The sequence below is a fragment of the Homo sapiens genome, chromosome 7, assembly GCF_000001405.40.
Source record: "Homo sapiens chromosome 7, GRCh38.p14 Primary Assembly".
In the NCBI taxonomy this organism is placed as follows: Eukaryota; Metazoa; Chordata; class Mammalia; order Primates; family Hominidae; genus Homo; species Homo sapiens.
The window spans coordinates 789,216-811,466 of record NC_000007.14 but is presented as its reverse complement, the minus strand read 5'-3'; the positions used below and the strand labels follow the sequence as shown (position 1 = coordinate 811,466).

The following is a 22,251-nucleotide window of genomic DNA, read 5'->3' as shown; positions in this document are numbered from 1 at the left end:
AGGTGTGGTGGCGATGCCTGTAGTCCCAGCTACTTGAGAGGCTGAGGCAAGATAATTGCTTCAACTGGGGAAGCAGAGGTTGCAGTGAGCTGAGATCATGCCACTGCACTCTGGCCTGGGCAACAGAGCAATACTCCATCTCAAAAAAAGCAAAGCAAAACAAAAGAAACAAACAAACAAAAATAAACGAGTTGCCAATATTTAAAAATTAAAGGACTTGGCCAGGCGCAGTGGCTCACGCCTGTAATCCCAGCACTTTGGGAGGCCGAGGCGGGCGGATCACAAGGTCAGGAGATCAAGACCATCTTGGCTAACATGGTGAAACCCCGTCTCTACTAAAAAATACAAAAAATTAGCCAGGCGTGGTGGCGGGCGCCTGTAGTCCCAGCTACTTGGGAGGCTGAGGCAGGAGAATGGCATGAACCTGGGAGGCGGAGCTTGCAGTGAGCCAAGATAGCGCCACTGCACTCCAGCCTGGGTAATAGAGCGAGACTCTGTCTCAAAAAAAAAAAAAAAAAAATTAAAGGACTTAAAAAATATATTTTTAAAATCTGGACTTCCAGCTTCTCTTGAAAAATCATATCTGGCAATGCTGGGCCTGCCCTGCCATGGCCACACCTGGAGGGCCCAGGAGAGAGGCGGATGTGGTTTGGATGTTTGTCCCCTACAGATCTCAGGTTGAAATGTGATCCCTGCTGCTGGAGGTGGGGCCTGCTGGGAGGTGTTGGATCATGGGGGCGGATCCCTCATGAATTGCCCAGCGTCATCCCCTTGGTGATAAGTGAACCCTCACTCAGTTCGTGCGAGAGCTGGGACCTCCTCACGGCCTCTCTTGCTCCTGCTGTCATCATGTGATGCACCTGCCCCTTCACCTCTGCCATGAGTGGAAGCAGCCTGAGGCCTTGCTAGAAGCAGATGCTGCTGCCCTGCTTCCTGTACGGCCTGCAAAACCGTGGGCCACATAAACTGTATTAGCCTGTTTTCACACTGCTGTAAAGATACTACCCAAGACTGGGTCGTTTATAGAGAAAAGAGGTTTTGTTTTGTTTTGTTTTGTTTTGTTTTTGAGATGGAGTCTCACTCTCTTGCCCAGGCTGGACTGCAGTGGCGCGATCTCGGCTCACTGCAAGCTCCGCCTCCCAGGTTCACACCATTCTCCTGCCTCAGCCTCCCAAGTAGCTGGGACTGCAGGCGCCCGCCACCATGCCTGGCTAAGTTTTTGTATTTTTAGTAGAGATGGGGTTTCACTGTGTTAGTCAGGATGGTCTCGATCTCATGGCCTCGTGATCCACCCGCCTCAGCCTCCCAAAGTGCTGGGATTACAGGTGTGAGCCACCGTGACCGGCCGAGAAAAGAGGTTTAATCGACTCACAGTTCCATATGGCTGGGGAGGCCTCGGAAAGCTTACAGTCGTGGGGGAGGGGGAAGCAGGCACGTCTTACATGGTGGCAGGTGAGAGAGAGAAGTGTGTGAAGGAGGAACTTGCCAAACACTTATGAAACCATCAGATCTCTTTGTTTTGTTTTATTTGCTTGTTTTTGAGATGGAGTTTTGCTCTTGTTGCCCAGGCTAGAGTGAAATGGCACAATCTCGGCTCACTGCAACCTCCGCCTCCCGGGTTCAAGTGATTCTCCTGCCTCTGCTTCCCGAGTAGCTGGAATTACAGGCGCCCGCCACCATGCCCAGCTAATTTTTGTATTTTTAGCAGAGACGGGGTTTCATCATGTTGGCCAGGCTAGTCTTGAATTCCTGACCTCAGGTGACCACCCGCCTTGGCCTGCCAGAGTGCTGGGATTACAGGCGTGAGCCACCACGCCTGGCTTGAAACCATCAGATCTTGGCTGGTTGCAATGGCTCATGCCTGTAATCCCAGCACTCTGGGAGGCTGAGGCTGGCGGATCACCTGAGGTCAGGAGTTTCAGACCAGCCTGGCCAACATGATGAATTCCCGTCTCTGCTAAAAATAGAAAAATTAGCCAGATGTGGTGGGCACCTATAATCCCAGCTAATTGGGAGGCTGAGGCAGGAGAATTGCTTGAACCCAGGAGGTGGAGGTTGCAGTGAGCAGAGATTGTGCCACTGCACACCAGCCTGGGCGACAGAGCCAGACTCTGTCTAAAAAAAAATCAAACAAAAAAACCCATCAGATCTTGTGAGAACTCAGTCACTATCAGAAGAACAGCATGGCAGAAACTGCCTCCATGATCTAATCGCCTCCCACCAGGTCCCGCCCTCAACAGATGGGAATTACAATTCAGATGAGATTTGGGTGGGGACACAGAGCCAAACCATATTGCAAACCTCTTTTCTTTATATGTTACCCAGCCTCAGGTCTGTCTTTTTTTTTTTTTTTTTGTGGAGACAGAGTCTCACTCTGTCACTCAGGCTGGAGTGTGGCGGCGCAATCTCGGCTCACTGCAACCTCCACCTCCCAGATTCAAGCAATTCTCCTGCCTCAGCCTCCTGAGTAGCTGGGACTACAGGTGCGCACCACCATGCCCGGCTAATTTTTGTATTTTTAGTAGAGACAGGGTTTCACCATGTCAGTCAGGCTGGTCTCAAACTCCTGACCTTGTGATTCACCCACCTCGGCCTCCCAAAGTGCTGGGATTACAGGCATGAGCCACTGCGCCTGGCCAGGTCTTTCTTTACAGCAATGTGAGAGCTGAGTAACACAGAAGGCCTTCCTCCAGGGTACACGTGTGGCTCCCACTCAGCGTGTCTCCCAGAGACGGAGGCTCACTCTTGTCCAGGATGCAGTGTGGACACCCCGATGCCCGAGACCCTCCAGGAAGGCCTCTGCAGCAGGTCAGCTGGGCTGCCCGAGCCATCTGGATGGCAGCCACCTCCAAGGTCTTCCTGTGGGCAAAATCCTCCCGCTTGGTTGTAAAATCCACCTGTTTGAGACTGTATGTACCCTGTTCAGAGGGAAAATGGCAGATTTGAAAATAGTGACTCCAGGGGCCGGAAGGGAGAGGGTGGCAAACTGCACCTGTGTCTTGATGAGAGGAGTGTCTCTGGGAGGGGAGCCCAGAAGGGCCCCTGACCCGCCTGGGAATGTGCTGCTGGGAACCTGCCCAGGACAAGGCTGGAGGGAGGAGAGAGAGTGACAGAGCCCAGGACCCAGGAAAGGGACCCAGGAGAGCTGGGTCCCAGGGCAACACTGCTGGGCATCTGGAGCAGAGCTTTGCTAAAGAGAAGAGCAGCTGTCATCCTGGCAACTGGTTTTACGTTTTATTCTTTTTCCATTTGACCAGCAATACATATGTGTTGCTGAAAAAACATCAACAACAACCGTCAGTGTCAAGAGAAAAAAATTAACACTAAATAGAATTTTTTTTCTTCTTTTGAGACAGATTGTATTAGTCTGATCTCACGCTGCTAATAAAGACATACCCAAGACTGGGTAATTTATAACGAAAAGAGGTTTAATTGACTCAGAGTTCCACATGGCTGGGGAGGCCTCACAATCATGGTGAAGGTGAAGGAGGAGCAAAGTCACATCTTACATGGCGGCAGCAAGAGAGCATGTGCAGGGAACCGCCCTTTATAAAACCATCAGATCTCGGCCGGGAGCAGTGGCTCACACCTGTAATCCCAGCACTTTGGGAGGCCGAGGCGGGCAGATCACGAGGTCAGGAGATCGAGACCATCCTGGCTAACACGGTGAAACCCCGCCTCGACTAAAAATACAAAAAATTAGCCGGGCGTGGTGGCGGGCGCCTGTAGTCCCAGCTACTCGGGAGGCTAGGCAGGAAAATGGCGTGAACCTGGGAGGTGGAGCTTGCAGTGAGCTGAGATCGTGCCACTGTACTCCAGCCTGGGGGGTGACAGAGTAAGACTCCATCTAAAAAAATAAAATAAAATAAACCCATCAGATCTCGTGAGACTTAGTCACTCCCACTAGAACATCACAGGAGTATCCCACCCCCATGATTCAATTCCCTCCCACCGGGTCCCTCCCATGACACATGGGGATTATGGGAGCTACCATTCAAGATGAGATTTGGGTGGGGACACAGCCAAAGCATATCACAGGGTCTCACTCTGTTGCCCAGGCTGGAGTGCAGTAGCATGATTTTGGCTCACTGCAACCTTTGCCTTCAGAGTTCAAGCAATTCTTGTGTCTCATCCTTCCAAGGAGCTGAGATGACAGGCGTGCACACCATACCTGGCTACTTTTTAAATGTATTTTTAGTAGAGATGGGGTTTTTCCATGTTGGCCAGGCTGGCCTTAAGTGTTCCGCCCAAAATGCTGGGATTATAATAACACTTTTTTTTCTTTGAGACGGAGTCTCGCTCTGTCACCCAGGCTGGAGGGCAGTGGCGCGATCTCGGCTCACTGCAACCTCTGCCTCCCAGGTTCATGCCATTCTCCTGCCTCAGCCTCCTGAGTAGCTGGGATCACAGGCACATGGCACTCGCCCGGCTAATTTTTTTTGTATTTTTAGTAGAGACAGGGTTTCACCATGTTAGCCGGAATGGTCTTGATCTCCTGACCTTGTGATCCGCCTGCCTTGGCCTCCCAAAGTGCTGGGATTACAGGCTTGAGCCACAGCGCCCAGCCCTGGCCTAATAACACTTTTAGACATCATTATGGTGGCCCATAAGAAATTGCCAGTGTTCATATTTTGCACTATGACCTCACATAATCCTTTTTCTTTTCTTTTTTTCTTTTTTTTTTTTTTTTTTGAGACGGAGTCTCGCTCTGTCGCCCAGGCTGGAGTGCAGTGTTGTGCAATCTCAGCTCACTCCAAGCTCCGCCTCCCGGGTTCACGCCATTCTCCCGCCTCAGCCTCCTGAGTAGCTGGGACTACAGGCACCCGCCACCACACCCGGCTATTTTTTTTTGTATTTTTAGTAGAGACGGGGTTTCACCATGTTAGCCAGGATGGTCTCGATCTCCTGACCTCATGATCCGCCTGCCTCAGCCTCCCAAAGTGCTGGGATTAGAGGCGTAAACCACCGCGCCCAGCCCTTTTTTTTTTTTTTTTTTTCTGAGGCGGAGGCTCGCTCTGTCACCCAGGCTGGAGTGCAGTGGCACCATCTCGGCTTACTGCAAGCTCCGCCTCCCGGGTTCATGCCATTTTCCTGCCTCAGCCTCCCAAGTAGCTGGGACTACAGGTGACCGCCACCACGCCCGGCTAATTTTTTTGTATTTTGTTAGTAGAGATGGGGTTTCACCGTATTAGCCAGGATGGTCTCGATCTCCTGACCTCGTGATCCACCTGCCTCGGCCTCCCAAATTGCTTGGATTACAGGTGTGAGCCACCGTGCCTGGCTTTTTTTTTTTTTTTTTTTTTGAGACAGGGTCTTGCTCTGTTGCTCAGGCTGGAGTGCAGTGGTGCCATCATAGCTCACTGCAGCCTCGACCTCCTGGGCTCAATCAATCCTCCCACTTCAGCCTCCCAAGTAGCTGGGACTACAGGCACACACCACTATGCCCAGCTAATTTTTCTATTTTTTGTAGAGACGGGGTCTTGCTCTGTTGCCCAGGCTGGTCTTGAGCTCCTGACCTCGTGATCCACACGCCTTGGCCTCCCAAAGTGCTGGGATTACAGGCATGAGCCACCGCGCCTGGCCTAATTTTTCTATTTTTTGTAGAGACGGGGTCTTGCTCTGCTGCCCAGGCTGGTCTCAAACTCCTGGCTCAAGGAATCTGCCTAGCTAGGTGTGGTGGGCACCTATAGCCTCCTTAGCCTCCCAAAGTGCTGTGATTACAGGTGTGAGCCACTTCACCCGGCCAACATACTTCTTTTCCTTAGACAAAATGGAGTCACAACAGACTGGCTTTTGTGACCAGGCTTTTTCATTTGTCTGAGTAAATTGGCCTTGCTGCCTTTTGCCGTGACTGGAGACAGCTCTCCCCAGAATGAACACGCTCAGTCCCGTCCAGCTCGCCGTTAATCACGCTCCGAGAAACATCCCTGAACTCACCTTTGCCCTCTTGTCCTGGGGTTTCCTTAGAATAAATTGCCGGAAGTGGAACTGCTGGGTCAAGGGTGGGGACGTTTTTATGACTTGCGTCCTCCAGAAAGGTCCTCAGTGGAGGCAACGCCTTCTGGAAAACAAACCCCAGGCGGGGGCAGAGCGGCTCGGGCTGCCAGGAGCTCCGCTGACTCTCCGAGTGTCCCGACTCTGTTTTTGTTTTCTTTCTTTCTTTCTTTTTTTGTTTTTGAGACGGAGTTTCACTCTTGTTGCCAGGCTGGAATGCAATAGTGCGATCTCGGCTCACTGCAACTTCTGCCTCCCAGATTCAAGCTCAGCCTCCTGCCTCAGCCTCCCGAGTAGCTGGGATTACAGGCACGCGCCACCACGCCTGGCTGATTTTTTTGTATTTTTAGTAGAAATGAGGTTTCACATCCAGGCTGGTCTCCAACTCCCGACCTCAGGTGATCCGTCCGCCTCGGCCTCCCAAAGTGCTGGGATTACAGGCGTGAGCCACCACGTCCGGCCCTTTGTTTTGTTTTTAACAGTTTCTTTTTTATTTTGTTATTATTTTGTTATTTTTATTTATTTTTCTTTGAGACAGAGTCTTGCTCTGTTGCCCAGGCTGGAGTGCAGTGGCACCATCTCGACTCACTGCAACCTCCGCCTCCCGGGTTCCAGCGATTCTCCTGCCTCAGCCCCGTGAGTAGTTGGAATTACTGGCACGCACCACCACACCCGTCTAATTTTTTGTATTTTTAATAGAGATGGAGTTTCACCATGTCAGCCAGGCTGGTCTCGAACTCTTGACCTCAAGTGATCCGTGTGCCTTGGCCTCCCAAAGTGCTGAGATTACAGGTGTGAGCCACCGCACCCAGCCTGGCCAGCCTTATTTATTTCACGTTTTGTTTATTTGGGAGTTCAGAGGAAATTACATGACAAGTCTGAATATTAAAGTCTGAATATAAAGCCTGGCGTTTGTTGGGGCAAACACTGTCTTTTTTTTTTTTTTTTTTTTTGATACAGGGTCTCGCTATCATGCAGGGTGGATTGCAGGGGTGTGATCATAGTTCACTGCAGCCTCAAACTCCTGGGCTCAGGCGATCCTCCTGCCTCAGCCTCCCAAAGTGCTGGGATTACAAGCACGAGCCACTGTGCCCGCCTGACCATTTCTTTTCTGTCTGAAGATGAAGCGTCGTCATTGCCGTGGTCTACTGGGCGCTTCCTGTTGTGGGCCAGCAGTTTTCAGGGCTCTTTGCACTGCAATCTTACTGAACAGTCGGACAGCTCTGTGACACACGAGGACACTGAGGCCCGGAGAAACGATTTGTCTACGCTCACTCTGCTCCTAAGTGGGAGGTAACACTCAAAAATCCAGATCCAGCCAGGTGTGCAGGCTCATGCCTCTAATCCCAGCAGTTTGGGAGGCTGAGGTGGGAGGATTGCTTGAGCCCAGGAGTTCGAGACCAGCCTGGGCAACATGGCGAGACCCCATCTCTACTTAATCTGATTAGGAAAATGTGGCATATATACACCATGGAATACTATGCAGCCATAAACAATGATGAGTTCATGTCCTTTGTAGGGACATGGATGAAGCTGGAAACCATCATTCTCAGCAAACTATAGCAAGGACCAAAAACCAAACACCGCATGTTCTCACTCATAGGTGGGAATTGAACAATGAGAACTCTTGGACACAGGAAGGGGAACATCACACACCGGGGCCTGTTGTGGGGTGGGGAGAGGGGGGAGGGATAGCATTAGGAGATATACCTAATGTAAATGATGAGTTAATGGGTGCAGCACACCAGCATGGCACATGTATACATATGTAACAAACCTGCACATTGTGCACATGTACCCTAAAACTTAAAGTATAATAATATATATATATATATGAAAAGAAAAAATTAGCCAGGCGTCATGGCACACACCTGTGGCCTCAGCTATTCAGGAGGCTGAGATGAGAGGGTCACTCAAGCCCACGAGTTCAAGGCTGCAGTGAACCGTGACGGCAGCACTGCACTCCAGCCTGGGGTGACACAGGGAAACCGTGTCACAAACAAACAATCCAGATCCCAGTGATTCCACAACCCGACGCCTCAGCCACGATGCAAACTGCCACATTCCTAACAACAATGTTTATGTTTTGGCTCCCGAGAGGAAACAAAAAGTTTTTTAGAAAACACACAGAAGTATTTAAAAAGTTTTAAACAAACACAGATCACTTCAACTCTATCACCGAGAGGTGACTTCTGTAAACATTTTTGTTTGTTCTGTGACTTTCCCATGAACATATATGTGTATTTTCATAAAAGTGGATGCTGGAGATGCCTTGTTGTCATCTGCCCTTTCCTTCCTTCTTTTTCTTTCTTTCTTTTTCTTTCTCTTTCCTTCTTTCTCTTTCCTTTCTTTGTCTCCTTCCTTCTTTCCTCTTTTTTTCTCTTTCTTTCTCTCTTTCCTTCTTTCTCTTTCTTTTGTCTCCTTCCTTCCTTCTTTCTTCTGTCTCTCTTTCTCTTTCTTTCTTTCTCTTTCCTTCTTTCTCTTTCTGTGTCTCCCTTCCTTCCTTCCTTCCCTTTCTTTCTTTCCTCTGTCTCTCTCTCTCTCTTTCTCTCTCTCTTTCTTTTTTTCTTTCTTTCTTTCGAGGGAGTCTTGCTCTGTCACCCAGGCTGGAGTACAGTGGCGCGATCTCGGCTCACTGCAACCTCCGCGTCCCAGGCTCAAGTGATTCTCCTGCCTCAGCCTCCCGAGTAGCTGAGACTACAGTCACACGCCACCATGCCCGGCTAATTTTTGTATTTTTAGTAGAGGCGGGGTTTCACCACGTTGGCCAGGCTGGTCTTAGACAGGGTCTCACTGTGTTGCCCAGGCTGGTTTCAAAGTCCTAGGCTCAAGCGACCCTCCCGCCTTAGCCTCCCACAGTGTTGGGATCACAGGCGTGAGCCACTTCGTCCAGCCTGTAATCTGCTTTTTCTACCTAACAGCACACGTGGAGGTCTCGCCTGTCCACAGACAGAAGTTGAGATCTCACCGGGAGAAGAACCGGGCCCAGGCAGTGTCTCTCCTCCCCACCCGGGGCCTCACGGCACTGACTGGTGGGTGGGGAGGGTGGGGGAGGGAATTCAGGGAGTGGGGAAGCAGTAGAGTGGGGGGTGTCTGAAGGGGCCAGGCGGAAGCACCAGACAAGAATAGGCACCCCGGAGCTGAGTGGAGGCGGCCTCTGAGGCTGCGCGTGGCAAGTCTGGGGGTGGGGCTGGCACCGTGGGGATTAAACAAAGCTCCCGGCTGGAACCCATGATCCTCCATACCGAGGCCACGGGGCAACTGGCGGCTGGCCAGCGTCCCCAGTCAAGGAACCAGATCCACGGAGCAACTGCTCCAGAGGGCTTTCGAGAGGGCCAGGCTCCCCAAGCCACTCCTTCCTCAGTCTGGCATCTGGCGAGGTTCCCAATGCCTCTTCCCTTTCCACGCCTCACAAGGCTGGACACCTGGAAACCCTCCCCTTGGACACGAGGCTTCCCGTCAACCTCTTTGTTTCTGAGAGAGGCCGGAGAGGAAGGTGAGCTACCTGGAGGATGAAGCAAGGTCTCCATTCGTAACTGGGAGACACCAGGAAAACCAGCAGCCCAGAAGAGAAGGACCAGAGACCAGGAGACAAAAGGACTCCTTCCAGCGAGAGCAAGGAGATTCAGAAATAGCAGAGAACGGCCGCGCACGGTGGCTCACGCCTGTAATCCCAGCACTTTGGGAGGCTGAGGCGGGCAGATCACCTGAGGTCAGGAGTTCAAGACCAGCCTGGCCAACATGGTGAAACCCCATCTCTACTAAAAACACAAAAATTAGCCAGGTGTGGTGGTGTGCACCTGTAATCCCAGCTTCTTGGGAGGCTGAGGCAGGAAAATTGCTTGAATCTGGGAGGCGGAGGCTGCAGTGACTGGAGATGGCGCCACTGCACTCCAGTGTGGGCGACAGAGTAAGACTCTGTTTCAAAAAAAAAAAATGTTTTTTCATACTGTATGATTCCACTTACATAAAAAAGACAACTAATCTACAGTGACAGAGGCAGTTCAGGGTTGCCAGAGCCGGGAGCGAGGGTGTGGTTTGACTTCGAAGGGGCTCAAGAAAACTTTTAGAGGTAACAGAAATGTTCTATATCTTGATGGTAATTGTGATGACATAACTATATATACTTGCAAAAACTCATCAAAATATATAATTACAATAGGCCAGGCGTGGTGGCTCACGCCTGTAACCCCAGCACTTTGGGAGGCCAAGGCAGGTGGAGCACCTGAGGTCAGGAGTTCAAGACCAGCCTGGCCAACATGGTGAAACCCCGTCTCTACCAAAAATACAAAATTAGCTGGGTGCGGTGGTGCATGCCTGTAATCCCAGGTATTTGGGAGGCTGAGGCAGGAGAATCGCTTGAACCCGGGAGGTGGAGGTTGCAGTGAGCCGAGATCGCACCACTGCCCTCCAGCCTGGGCGACAGAGCCAGACTCTGTCTCAAAATATATATAGCCATAATCAGAAAATACTGCGGATTTATTTTTAGTCTTTGGCATCAATCTACATGTAAACCATGAAAAAGGTGAATATTTTCCATCTGTTCTAACTATAAATAGTAACCTTGGCTCTGGAACTGCAACTGTCCAGCTGTTATGAGTTGGGAGGTGGGTGGGAGGGAGAGAAAGAGGAAAGGATGGGACCCTCATCTTCCGGGGAACAGAGGAAAGATACTGTCCAAAGTTGGTGGGACAAGAGACAGAGGTTTAAGTCCTGTAAATTATTATCATTATTTGAGGCAGAGTCTCATTCTGCTACCCACTGCAGCCTCGAAGTCTCGAACTTCTGGGCTTAAGTGATGCTCCCACCTTGGCCCCATGAATAGCTAACACTACAGGTGTGCACCACCATGCCCAGCTCATTTTTTAACTTTTTGTAGAGACAGTCTTGCTTTGTTACCCAGAGTGGTCTTGAAATTCCTGGCCTTGCCGGGCATGGTGGCTCATGCCTGTAATCCCAGCACTTTGGGCGGCCAAGGCGGGAGGATCACGAGGTCAGGAGATCGAGACCATCCTGGCCAACACACGGTGAAACCCCATCTCCATTAAAAATAAAAAAAAAAATTAGCTGGGCGTAGTGGCGGGCTCCTGTAGTCCCAGCTACTTGGGAGGCTGAGGCAGGAGAATGGTGTGAACCTTGGGAGGTGGAGCTTGCAGTGAGTGGAGATCGCACCACTGCACTCCAGCCTGGGCGACAGAGCGAGACTCCATCTCAAAAAAAAAAAAAAAAAAAAAAGAAAAGAAAAATTCTTGGCCTCAAGTGAGCGTCCTGCCTCAGTCCCCCAAAGTGCTGGTATTACAGGCACATGCCACCATGCCCAGCCAATGCCTGCTTTTCATATCTGTCCCACAGTCATGTAAAATGTTAACACCAGGAGAACCTGAGCAAAGTGTATATATGGGAACTGTACTATTTTTGCAATTTTTCTGTTAAGAAGTGTAAAGTTTCTTTCTGTCTTTCTTCCTTCCTTCCTTTTTCTGTTTTTTTTTTTTTTTGGAGACGGAGTCTTGCTATGTCACCAGGCTGGAGTGCGGTGGCGCAATCTCGGCTCACTGCAATCTCCACCTCCTGGGTTCAAGTGATTCCCCTGCCTCAGCCTGCCAAGTAGCTGGGACTGCAGGCACATGCCACCACGCCTGGCTAATTTTTTGTATTTTAGTAGACACGGGATTTCACCATGTTGGCCAGGATGGTCTCGATATCCTGACCTCATGATCCGCCCGCCTCAGCCTCCCAAAGTGCTGGGATTACAGGTGTGAGCCACCACGCCCAGCCCTAAAGTTATTTCAATAAAGAATTTAAAATATATGGCCAGCCGTGGTGGCTCATGCCTGTAACTCCAGCACTTTGGGAGGCCAAGGCGGGAGGATCACTTGAGGTTAGAAGTTCGAGATCAGCCTGGACAACATGGCAAAACCCTGTCTCTACTAAATGCTGGGATTACAGGCATGAGCCACTGTACCTGGCCAATAATAAAATAATTCTACAACTTTGAAAATGTAAAGTCAGTCGGAGCCCTGAGCTTGTTTTCCTGCAACTAGATGGTCCCATCTGTGGGTGATGGGAGACAATGACAGATCATCAGGCATTAGATTCTCATAAGGAGTGTGAAACCTAATCCCTCTCATGCACAGTTCACAATGGGGTTCATGCTTCTGTGAGAACTGAATGCTGATGCTGATCTGACAAAGTGGAGCTCAGGCGGTAACGTCAGCGATGGGAGCGGCTGTAAATACAAATGAAGCTTTACTGGCTGGCCCGCTGCTCACCTCTGGCTATGTGGCCTGGTTCCTAACAGGCCACATTCTGTGGCCCGGGGGTTGGGGACCCCTGCTGTAAACGACGGTCTTGGTGTGGTCAGGAGCAGAGGCCCCTGGGAGCTGGTGCTCCACCTCCTTCAAGGTGCCGGACCTCAGCGGGGCCTGTGCTCTATCCACAAGCCTGCTTGCTTCTGGGTCCCGATTTTGTCTGTTAGTGCTTGTCTTCTTGTTGGAAGCCATCTCTTCCCTGGTGGGATGAATGAGCTATTAACAAATTATTTATTTATTTATTTAATTTTTTTTGGAGATGGAGTCTCGCTCTGTCGCCCAGGCTGGAGTGCAGTGGCACCATCTCAGCTCTCTGCAACCTCCGCCTCCCTGGTTCAAGCGACTCTCCTGCCTCAGCCTCCCAAGTAGCTGGGATTACAGGTGCGCACCACCACGAGCAGCTCATTTTTTTATATTTTTAGTAGAGATGGGGTTTCACCATGTTGGCCAGGCTGGTTTCGAACTCCTGACCTCAAGTGATCCACCCATCTCAGCCTCCCAAAGTGCTAGGATTACAACGTGAGCCACTGCATCTGGCTATATTTACTAGAGACAGGGTTTCACCATGTTGGCCAGGCTGGTCTCAAACTCCTGACCTCAAATGATCTGCCTGCCTCAGCCTCTCAAAATGCTCGGATTACAGGCATGAGCCCCTGCACATGGCCCCTTTGTTCCATTCTTTTATTTATTTATTTTAATTTTATTTTTTTAAGACAGAGTCTCGCTCTGTCGCCGAAGCTGGAGTGCAGTGGCGTGATCTCAGCTCACTGCAACCTCCTCCTTCCGAGTGCAAGCAATTCTCCTGCCTCAGCCTCCCAAGTAGCTGTGACTACAGGTGCACGCCACCATACCTGGCTAATTTGTTGTATTTTAGTAGAGATGGAGCTGCATCGTGTTGCCCAGGCTGGTCTCAAACCCCTGAGCTCAGGCAATCTGCCCACCTCGGCCTCCCAAAGTGCTAGGATTACAGGCATGAGCCACTGTGCCTGGCCATCGCATACTGTAAATAAACATTCAGACATGCAGAGGCTGCTAGCCTGGAGCACCTGTCAGTGACGGCAAGTCTTCCAGTCTGGACGGGCACAAAGTGGCTGTTATGTGAGCACATCCCTGGAGGGGCGGGATCCATGGGTGGTGAACACGGGGCCGTGCTCCCAGCCCTGCCCCGGGAGGGAAAGAATCTGGGCTGGAAGGTTTCCTGGGCCGCAGGCAGATGGAGGAACCCCGCGGCCCTGTGCTGGCTGCATTCTCACTGGTCTTCTGACGGGACGCCCTCGCCTGTCCAGGTGGTTCACTGTCATACTGCAGCAGGATGAGCCGCAGACAAAACTTTTCAGACACTGGATTCAAGAAGGAAGAGGTTTTTATTCGGCCGGGAGCGTCGGCAGACTTGCGTTTTAAGAGCTGAGCTCCTCGAAAAAGAAATTCTTGGCCTTTTTAAAGGGTTACAACTTTAAGGGGTCCACGTGAAAGAGTCGTGATACATCAAGCAAGCGTGGGAAACGTGACTGGGGGCAGCATCATCAGCTAACAGAACAGAAAGTCTTACAATGCTTTTTTCATAGTGCCTGGAATTTACAGATAACACAAGTAGTTTAGCTCAGGGGTTGATGTTATTATTATTACTTTTTTTAACTCCTAGGGCTGGGTGGTGGTGCCAAGGTTGTCTGGCTATTTATCTTACTTTTGTTTTTTTTTCTAACTTTTTGCTTCTTCTCTCCTCCTGTCTTGTGAACTAGGCAAGGTGCAGGGAGGAGGGCAGCAGGGGTAGTAGCGGTCTCCTTCCGTATCCCCCACTTTGAGAATTTTCACTAAGTAGTGGGAGTTCTCACTTTTATTTCTACTTTTTGAGTCTTTTTGTGAGACAGAGTGATCGTGTTTTATGTAATACACTTGCTCCTTCAAAACATGACATCCAGAGTGGATCATCTGAAACTCCTTCTTCCTCTTTGAGAAGAAAATAACAACTGAGGTCCCCAGTTCACTCTGCCAGAAGGAAAACATTAAGCTGAAAGCGGGGCCAAGTGAGAAACTGCCTTTCCTTTTGCTCCTCAGCAGGGTGCTACAGATAAAAGGTTAAACATCATTTATGCAGCCAAAAAACACATGAAAACATGCTCACCATCACTGGCCATCAGAGAAATGCAAATCAAAACCACAGTGAGATACCATCTCACACCAGTTAGAATGGCGATCATTAAAAAGTCAGGAAACAACAGGTGCTGGAGAGGATGTGGAGAAATAGGACACTTTCACACTGTTGGTGAGACTGTAAACTAGTTCAACCATTGTGGAAGTCGGTGTGGCGATTCCTCAGGGATCTAGAACTAGAAATACCATTTGACCCAGCCATCCCATTACTGGGTATATACCCAAAGGATTATAAATCATGCTGCTATAAAGACACATGCACACGTATGTTTACTGCAGCACTATTCACAATAGCAAAGACTTGGAACCAACCCAAATGTCCAACAACGATAGACTGGATTAAGAAAATGTGGCACATATACACCATGGAATACTATGCAGCCATAAAAAATGATGAGTTCATGTCCTTTGTAGGAACATGGATGAAACTGGAAATCATCATTCTCAGCAAACTATCGCAAGGACAAAAAAACCAAACACCGCATGTTCTCACTCATAGGTGGGAATTGAACAATGAGAACACACGGACACAGGAAGGGGAACATCACACTCTGAGGACTGTTGTGGGGTCGGGGGAGGGGGGAGGGATAGCATTAGGAGATATACCTAATGTTAAATGACGAGTTAATGGGTGCAGCACACCAACATGGCACATGTATACATATGTAACTAACCTGCACATTGTGCACATGTACCCTAAAACTTAAAGTATAATAATAATAAAAAAATAAATAAATAAAATTAAAAAAAGTTTAAATATCCACGGGTAAGGCATTCCAGGTTCACCTTCTCTTTTGTAAAGAGTGGATTTTTGGAGCACCGGCTCTTCCCCTGCCTGTTCCTTTTCTCTTGAAACTTGAGGATTCAACAATGTGACCACACCGTCCCTGTTTCCCCTCCAGCCCACTTTCCTCCTTTAAATACTGAAGGCCTAAAAGTCTTTTTTTTTTTTTTTTTTTTTCGGAGACAGAGTCTCACTCTGTCACCCAGGCTGCAGTGCAGTGGCGCGATCTCGGCTCACTGCAACCTCCACCTCCTGGGTTCAAGCGATTCTCCTGCCTCAGCCTCCCGAGTAGCTGGGACTACAGGTGCCCGCCACCACGCCCAGCTAATTTTTTTCTATTTTTAGTAGAGATGGGGTTTCACCATGTAGGTCAGGATGGTCTCGATCTCTTGACCTCGTGATCCACCCGCCTCGGCCTCCCAAAGTGCTGGGATTACAGGCGTGAGCCACCGCGCCCGGCCATGAATTTACCTAAATATTGGAGTAGTGTGCGCTGTGAGTCCGTGTGTGATGGGATCCCACTGCCTCACTGGACATTGTCTGAATTGACTTTCACTTAGAGCATGTTTATAAAGGGTAATTAAAATGTGCTAATCGGAAGCTGTATTAAAACTCACTGGCGATTGCAGCAACTGTTCAGCTTAGAATTTAGAGCAACAAAAGGTTTTTTTTAGGCGAGTGTTTTCTCACTGATATTGTACAGAAGGGTGACGCATGGTGTTAATAAAAGGCAGCGGGACTTTTAATTGGTGATGACTGTTTCTCAGTTCCCAGCACTCCCAGGCCTCTCGGGTCCTGCCAGCATGAGGCAGAGGGCGACGAGCCCACCCCTCAGGTGCGCCCACCCCTCAGGTGCACCCACCCCTCAGGCTGGCTCTGTGGGAGACCCCACCCTTGTCCTCTGCAGATTAGACAGACTCTGTGGGTGTGGACCCTGCCCTGCCCAGGTCCAGGTTAGATTCTGCGGGTGTGGACCCTCCCAGGCTCTGGTCCAGGTTAGAGTCTGCGGGTGTGGACCCTTCCCCTGCCCGGGTCCAGGTTAGAGTCCCTGGGTTTAGGCCCTGCCCCAGTCCAGGTTAGATTCTGTGGGTGTGGATGGACCCTGCCCTGCCTGGGTCCAGGTTAGAGTCCGCGGGTGCGGACCCCGCCCTGCCCGGGTCCAGGTTACAGTCCGCGGGTGCGGACCCCGCCCTGCCCGGGTCCAGGTTACAGTCCAAGGGTGTGGACCCCGCCCTGCCCGGGTCCAGGTTACAGTCCGCGGGTGTGGACCCTGCCCTGCCCAGGTCCAGGTTACAGTCCGCGGGTGTGGACCCCACCTGGGTCCAGGTTACAGTCTGTGGGTGTGGACCCCGCCCTGCCCGGGTCCAGGTTACAGTCTGTGGGTGTGGACCCTGCCCTGGCAGCGCAGGCGGCTGGCGCTGTGCTTGTCCCGGGCCACGCCTCTGGAGGCCTTTGCGTGATGGTGCCACCCTCTGGGCTCCTCCTGCCCCCGGACCTGGATCCCTGCGGGGAACCCTTCCGCATCCCACATCTCTGTCCTGCATCCCGGGATGGAGCCCACAGGGACCCCAGGAAAAGGCCCCGTAAAGGATTGGGGGCTCAGAGACATCCCCTGGACCCGGATCCCTGCACTGCAGACTGGGCAACAGAGCAAGACTCTCGTCTCCAGAAAAAAAAAAAAAAGGAAAAGAAAAAAGAAAAGAAAACAAAATATAAGGAAACTAACGTAAGGATGACAGTGCCAGCAATGAGCTAGGAAGAGAACATGGAGACGCCTAATAATAGATTCTTCTGTCTACAGTTACCTTGTTGTCAGCCAAGAGTGAGCACTGCCTTGTCTCCTAAGTGACACTTTCCAAGACATTAAGAGAAGCGTTGAGTAAATGCCTAAACACAAATGAGCAGGTGCTTTTCCCCTTGGGGCAGGTTCTAGGCCTCAGGGTCCAGGCCAGCTCCTGGAGCCATCATTTGCTTGTAAGAAGAGTCACAGGAGAGCGGCACAGACCCTTGGGTACAACATCAAGGACATGCCGAGGTCAAAGGAAGAAGGCGGAGAGGGTGAGGCCTGCGTGGAGGCTGCAGCCTCCTCTCTGTGAAAGGCACTGCCTGAGACCTCTTAAAATGCTTTTAAAAGGCTGGGCGCGGTGGCTCACGCCTGTAATGCCAGCATTTTGGGAGGCCCAGGTGGGTGAATCATTTGAGGTCAGGAGTTTGAGACCAGCCTGGCCAATGTGGTGAAACCCCATCTCTACTAAAAATACAAAAATCATTTGGGCATGGTGGTGGGCGCCTGTAGCCCTAGCTACTTGGGAGGCTGAGGCAGGAGAATCACTTGAACCCAGGAGGGAGAGGTTGCAGTGAGCTGAGATTGCAGCACTGCCCTCCAGCCTGGGTGACAGAGCGAGACTCCGTCTCAAAACAACAACAAACCATGGTATTCATAGCCCACCAGCCTGAGTAACATCCAGGGATTGTTTCTCTCTCTGACATCAGATGGACAATGCTATTTATAGAATTCTGGGCTGGGCACGGTGGCTCATGCCTGTAATCCCAGCACGTTGGGAGGCCAAGGCGGGTGGATCACGAGGTCAGGAGTTCGAGACCAGCCTGACCAACATGGTGAAACTCCATCTCTACTAAACAAACAAACAAAAAATACAAAAATTAGCCAGGTGTGGTGGCATGCGCCTGTAATCCCAGCTACTCAGGAGGCTGAGGCAGGAGAATTGCTCGAACCCAGGAGGTGGAGGTAGCGGTGAGCCGAGATCGCACCACTGCACTCCAGCTTGGGTGACAGAGCGAGACTCTGTCTCAAAAAAAAAAAAGAAAAAAAATAGAATTCTGGAAAATGGGGAGAAGTCAGGAGAAATATTCTATCGCTGTAAGAACGTGGGGTACAGTGCAGTTTCGTTACATGCATAGATTGCATTCTGGATACTGGTCAAGTCAGGGCTGTTGGGGATCCATCGCCCGAATATCATATGTTGTACCCACTAAGTCATTTTACATCATCCACTCCCTTTTCTCCCTTCACCCTTCTGAGTCTCCACTGTCTATCATTCTCTATGTCCACGTGTTCACATTTTCTAGCACCCACTCATGAGTCAAAATATGTGGTATTTGACTTTCTGCACCTGGCTTGTTTCACTAAGATCATGGCCTCCAGTTCCATCTATGTTGCTGCAAAAGTCAGGATCTCGTTCTTTTTTTTGAGACGGAGTCTGGCTCTGTCACCCAGGCTGGAGTGCAGTGGCACGATCTCCACTCACTGCAAGCTCCGCCTCCCGGGTTCACGCCATTCTCCTGCCTCAGCCTCCCAAGTAGCTGGGACTACAGGCGCCCGCCACCACGCCCGGCTAATTTTTTTTTTGTATTTTTAGTAGAGACGGGGTTTCACCGTGTTAGCCAGGATGGTCTCTATCTCCTGACCTTGTGATCTGCCCGCCTCGGCCTCCCAAAGTGCTGGGATTACAGGCGTGAGCCACTGCGCCCGGCTGGTGTTTTATTTTTTTGTAGCTATTATAAGTGTGATTGCCTTGATTTCTTTGTCAACTAGATCATTATTAACGGACAGAAATACTACTGATCTGTGTATGTTGATTTTGTATTCTGCAGCTTAACTGCATTCATCCCATCTAAGAGCTTTTTGGAAGGTTTTCTAGATATATGATCATATCATCAGCAAATGGGGATAATTTGACTTATTTTCCAATTTAGATGCCTTTTATTTCTTTCTCTTGCCTGATTGCTCTGGCTAGGATGAAAGATTTATCTTTAAAGAAAATTTAACTAAGTTCTCAGGCTAGTGAGGAGACACCTGGTAGTGGAAAATCAAGTGCTCAGTAAAAGGGACACCGCCCGGCCTGCTCCCACCTGGAGAAGAGCCTCCAAGAGCACTCAGGCTGAGCCTGTGTCTTCCATGCTTAGCCAGGTGACTGTTTTTGAAGTGTGATTTTTTCATTATAAAAACTCATGCAGAATTCACACATACACAAGTAGAGAGAATAATATAATAAACATAAAGAGCCTCCATATAGTCATCATTGATTCGGTGATTTAAAAAGGAGTAGGCTGGGCACAGCGGCTCATGCCTGTCCTCCCAGCACTTTGGGAGGCTGAGTTAGGAGGTTCGTTTCAGCCGGAGAGTTCGAGACCAGTCTGGGCAACATAGTGAGAACTCGTCTCTACTAAAAATAAAAAATTAGCTGGGGGTGGTGGTGTGCATCTGTAGTCCCAGTTACTCCGGAGGCTGAGGCGGGAGGATCGCTTGAGCTTGGGAGGCTGGGGCTGCAGTGAGCTGTGAGGGCACCCTTGTGCTCCAGCCTGGGTGACAGAGTGAGACCCTGGCTCAGAGGAAAAAAGAAAGGACTATAGAACAGCTTTGCCTGTTCTCGAGTTCCATATAAATTATATGAGATACAGTCTTTCCTCACTGGCCTGGTGTCTGTGGGAGCTGTCTCCGTTGCAGTGTGCCCTGTCGTTCGACTACAGAATCGTATTCTGTTGTCTGGATAGACTGTAGTTTGTTTATACTGCAGATGGACTGTTGATGGACATTTGGGTTTTTTCCAATTTGAGGCTAGAATAAAGCTGCTATGAGCACTTGGCTACAAGTCTCTGCATTTTCATTTCTCAATAAGACAAGTTTTGTTTGTTTGCTTTGAGATGGGGTCTTGTTCTGTCACCCAGGCTGGAGTGCCATGATGCCATCAAGACCCACTGCAGCCTCCACTTTCAGGTTCAAGCAATCCTCCTGCCTCAGCCTCCCAAAGTGTTGCGATTACAGCCGTGGGCCACCACACCCTGCCCAAGACAACTTTCTGATAAAGCTTTTGCTTTGACATCCTGAACACCCTTCCCTGGGACAGGGGTTCGTGATACAGAAGAAACAAGTGTGCTGACTTGTGAGCCGAGAACAGCATCAGGTGTCAGTGAGGCTTCGATTACAGGTTAGTCTCAGCAGAGTTGTTTTTGACTGGGTAATAAATACGTGCACTAAAAGTAAATTCCATGGTACCGAGAGGAGTAAATTCCATGGAACCGAGAGGAGTAAATTCCATGGTACCAAGAGGTAAAGACTGGACTCTCACTCCAGTCCCTGGGGCACTCAGGTCCCTTCTCCAGAGGCCTCACTGTTCAACTGGTTTCTTTTGTCCCCTCCAGAAATTTTTTATGCCTAAGCAAAAGAAGCAGCTCCCTTTTTTTTTTTTCTTCAGACGGAGTCTCACTTTGTCGCCCAGGCTGGAGTGCAGTGGCAAGATCTCGGCTCACCACAACCTCCACCTCCCAGGTTCAAGCAATTCTCCTGCCTCAGCCTCCCGAGTAGCTGGGATTACAGGTATGCGCCACCACACCCAGCTAATTTTTGTAGTTTTAGTAGAGACGGGGTTTCACTATGTTGGCCAGGCTGGTCTCGAACTGCTGACCTCGTGATCTGCCCGCCTCGGCCTCACAAAGTGCTGGGATTTCAGGCGTGAACCACCGCACCCAGCCTGTGCTCCTTGTTTTTTAAAATTAACAATGTGTTTTGGAGATCATCCCATACTGATATAGAAGGCTGTCTTTGGCTACAAAAAGGTGAGTGTTTTTTCTTCAACCAACCAGCTCCCACCCTCCAGTAACCTCAGCTCTTCATTTAGGTCACAGAAAGGGGATTACAAAGGGAAGTAGAAATTGCCTTTGAATCACAGTGTAGGTAAGAACAAATAGATGAGTTGTTTTTATTTATTTTTTTGAGACAGAGTCTCACTCTGTCACCCAGGCTGGAGTGCAGTGGCGTGATCTCAGCTCACTGTAACGTCCGTCTCCTGGGTTCAAGCAATTCTCTCACCTCAGCTTACTGAGTAGCTTTGATACAAGCGCCCACCACCAGCCCCGGCTAATTTTTGTATTTTCAGTATAGATGAGGTTTCACTATCTTGGCCAGGCTGGTCTTGAACTCCTGACCTCAAGTGATCCACCAGCCTTTGGCTTCCCAAAGTGCTGGGATTACAGGCATAAGCAACCGTGCCTGGCCTATGACAAGAGCTTTTTGTTTGTTTGTTTGAGATGGGGTCTCGCACGATTGCCCAGGTTGGAGTGCAGTGGTGCAATCGTAGCTCACTACAGCCTCAACATCCTAGGCCCAGGAGATCCTCCCGCCTCTGCCTCCCGAGTAGCTGGAATTACAGGTATGCACCAACATGCCAGGTTAGTTTTTTTTTTTTTTTTTTCTGGAGAGACAGGGTCTCCTTATGATTCCCAAGCTGGGCTCAAGCGACCCTCCCACCTTGGCCTCCCAAAGTGCTGGGATTACAGGCGTGAGCCACTGTGCCTGGCAACAACAGCTTTTTGAGCTTCAGGAACTGAAGACTTTGTGTCCTTGGGTTAGGCAAAGATTTCCTAGATACAACACCAAAAGCACAATCCATTAAAAAAGAAATTGATAAATTAGACTTCATTCAAAATAAAAAGCTTATCTTCTTCAAACGACATTGTTAAAATAATGAAAAGACAAGCTATGGAATGAGAGAAAATATTTGCAAATCATAGATATATGATAAAGGACTTGTACCTAGAATATATGAAGAATTCTCAATATTCAGGAAGAACACAACCCAGTTTTGTCTAAATGGGCAAGATATTTGTATTAGTCCGTTCTCACATTGCCATAAAGAACTACCTGAGACTGGCTTGTTTATGAAGAAAAGAGGTTTAATTGACTCACAGTTCTCCATGGGTGGGGAGGCCTCAGGAAACTTCCAATCATGGCAGAAGGTGAAGGGGAACCAGGCACATCTTCACATGGCGACGGGAGAGAGAAGGCACACTTTTAAACAACCAGATCTCATAAGAACTCACTATCATGAGAACAGCAAGGGAGAAATCCATCCCCATGATCCAATCACCTCCCACCAGGTCCTTCCCTCAACACTGGGAATTATAGTTCAACATGAGATTTGGGTGGGGACACTCAGCCAAACCATGTCAATATTTAAAAAGACTCTTCACCAAAAAAGATACACAGATGGCAAA

General features: G+C 49.8%; 1 long non-coding RNA gene across 1 annotated transcript, besides 3 other annotated features; it reads right to left on the bottom strand.

Moving 5' to 3' along the window:
- Nucleotides 705-865: a silencer, noted in NCBI's record as "fragment chr7:850239-850399 (GRCh37/hg19 assembly coordinates)". NCBI's record gives its function as "represses an EF-1alpha promoter that drives an FKBP-Casp9 reporter gene in an ReSE screen in K562 erythroleukemia cells {active_cell/tissue: K562}" and the evidence as "EXISTENCE:reporter gene assay evidence [ECO:0000049][PMID:32094911]".
- Nucleotides 842-1,342: an enhancer, noted in NCBI's record as "H3K4me1 hESC enhancer chr7:849762-850262 (GRCh37/hg19 assembly coordinates)". NCBI's record gives its function as "activates a minimal SCP1, AML or CMV promoter by ChIP-STARR-seq in naive H9 embryonic stem cells {active_cell/tissue: H9 hESC(naive)}" and the evidence as "EXISTENCE:reporter gene assay evidence [ECO:0000049][PMID:30033119]".
- Nucleotides 13,378-13,878: an enhancer, noted in NCBI's record as "H3K4me1 hESC enhancer chr7:837226-837726 (GRCh37/hg19 assembly coordinates)". NCBI's record gives its function as "activates a minimal SCP1, AML or CMV promoter by ChIP-STARR-seq in primed H9 embryonic stem cells {active_cell/tissue: H9 hESC(primed)}" and the evidence as "EXISTENCE:reporter gene assay evidence [ECO:0000049][PMID:30033119]".
- On the bottom strand, nucleotides 13,648-22,014 carry LOC124901567 (uncharacterized). The gene is made up of 2 exons (XR_007060175.1): nucleotides 21,944-22,014; nucleotides 13,648-14,364 (listed from the first exon to the last, which is right to left on the bottom strand). It is a non-coding gene; the product is annotated as an uncharacterized LOC124901567 (long non-coding RNA).
- Between the last annotated feature and the right edge of the window lie 237 nt (nucleotides 22,015-22,251).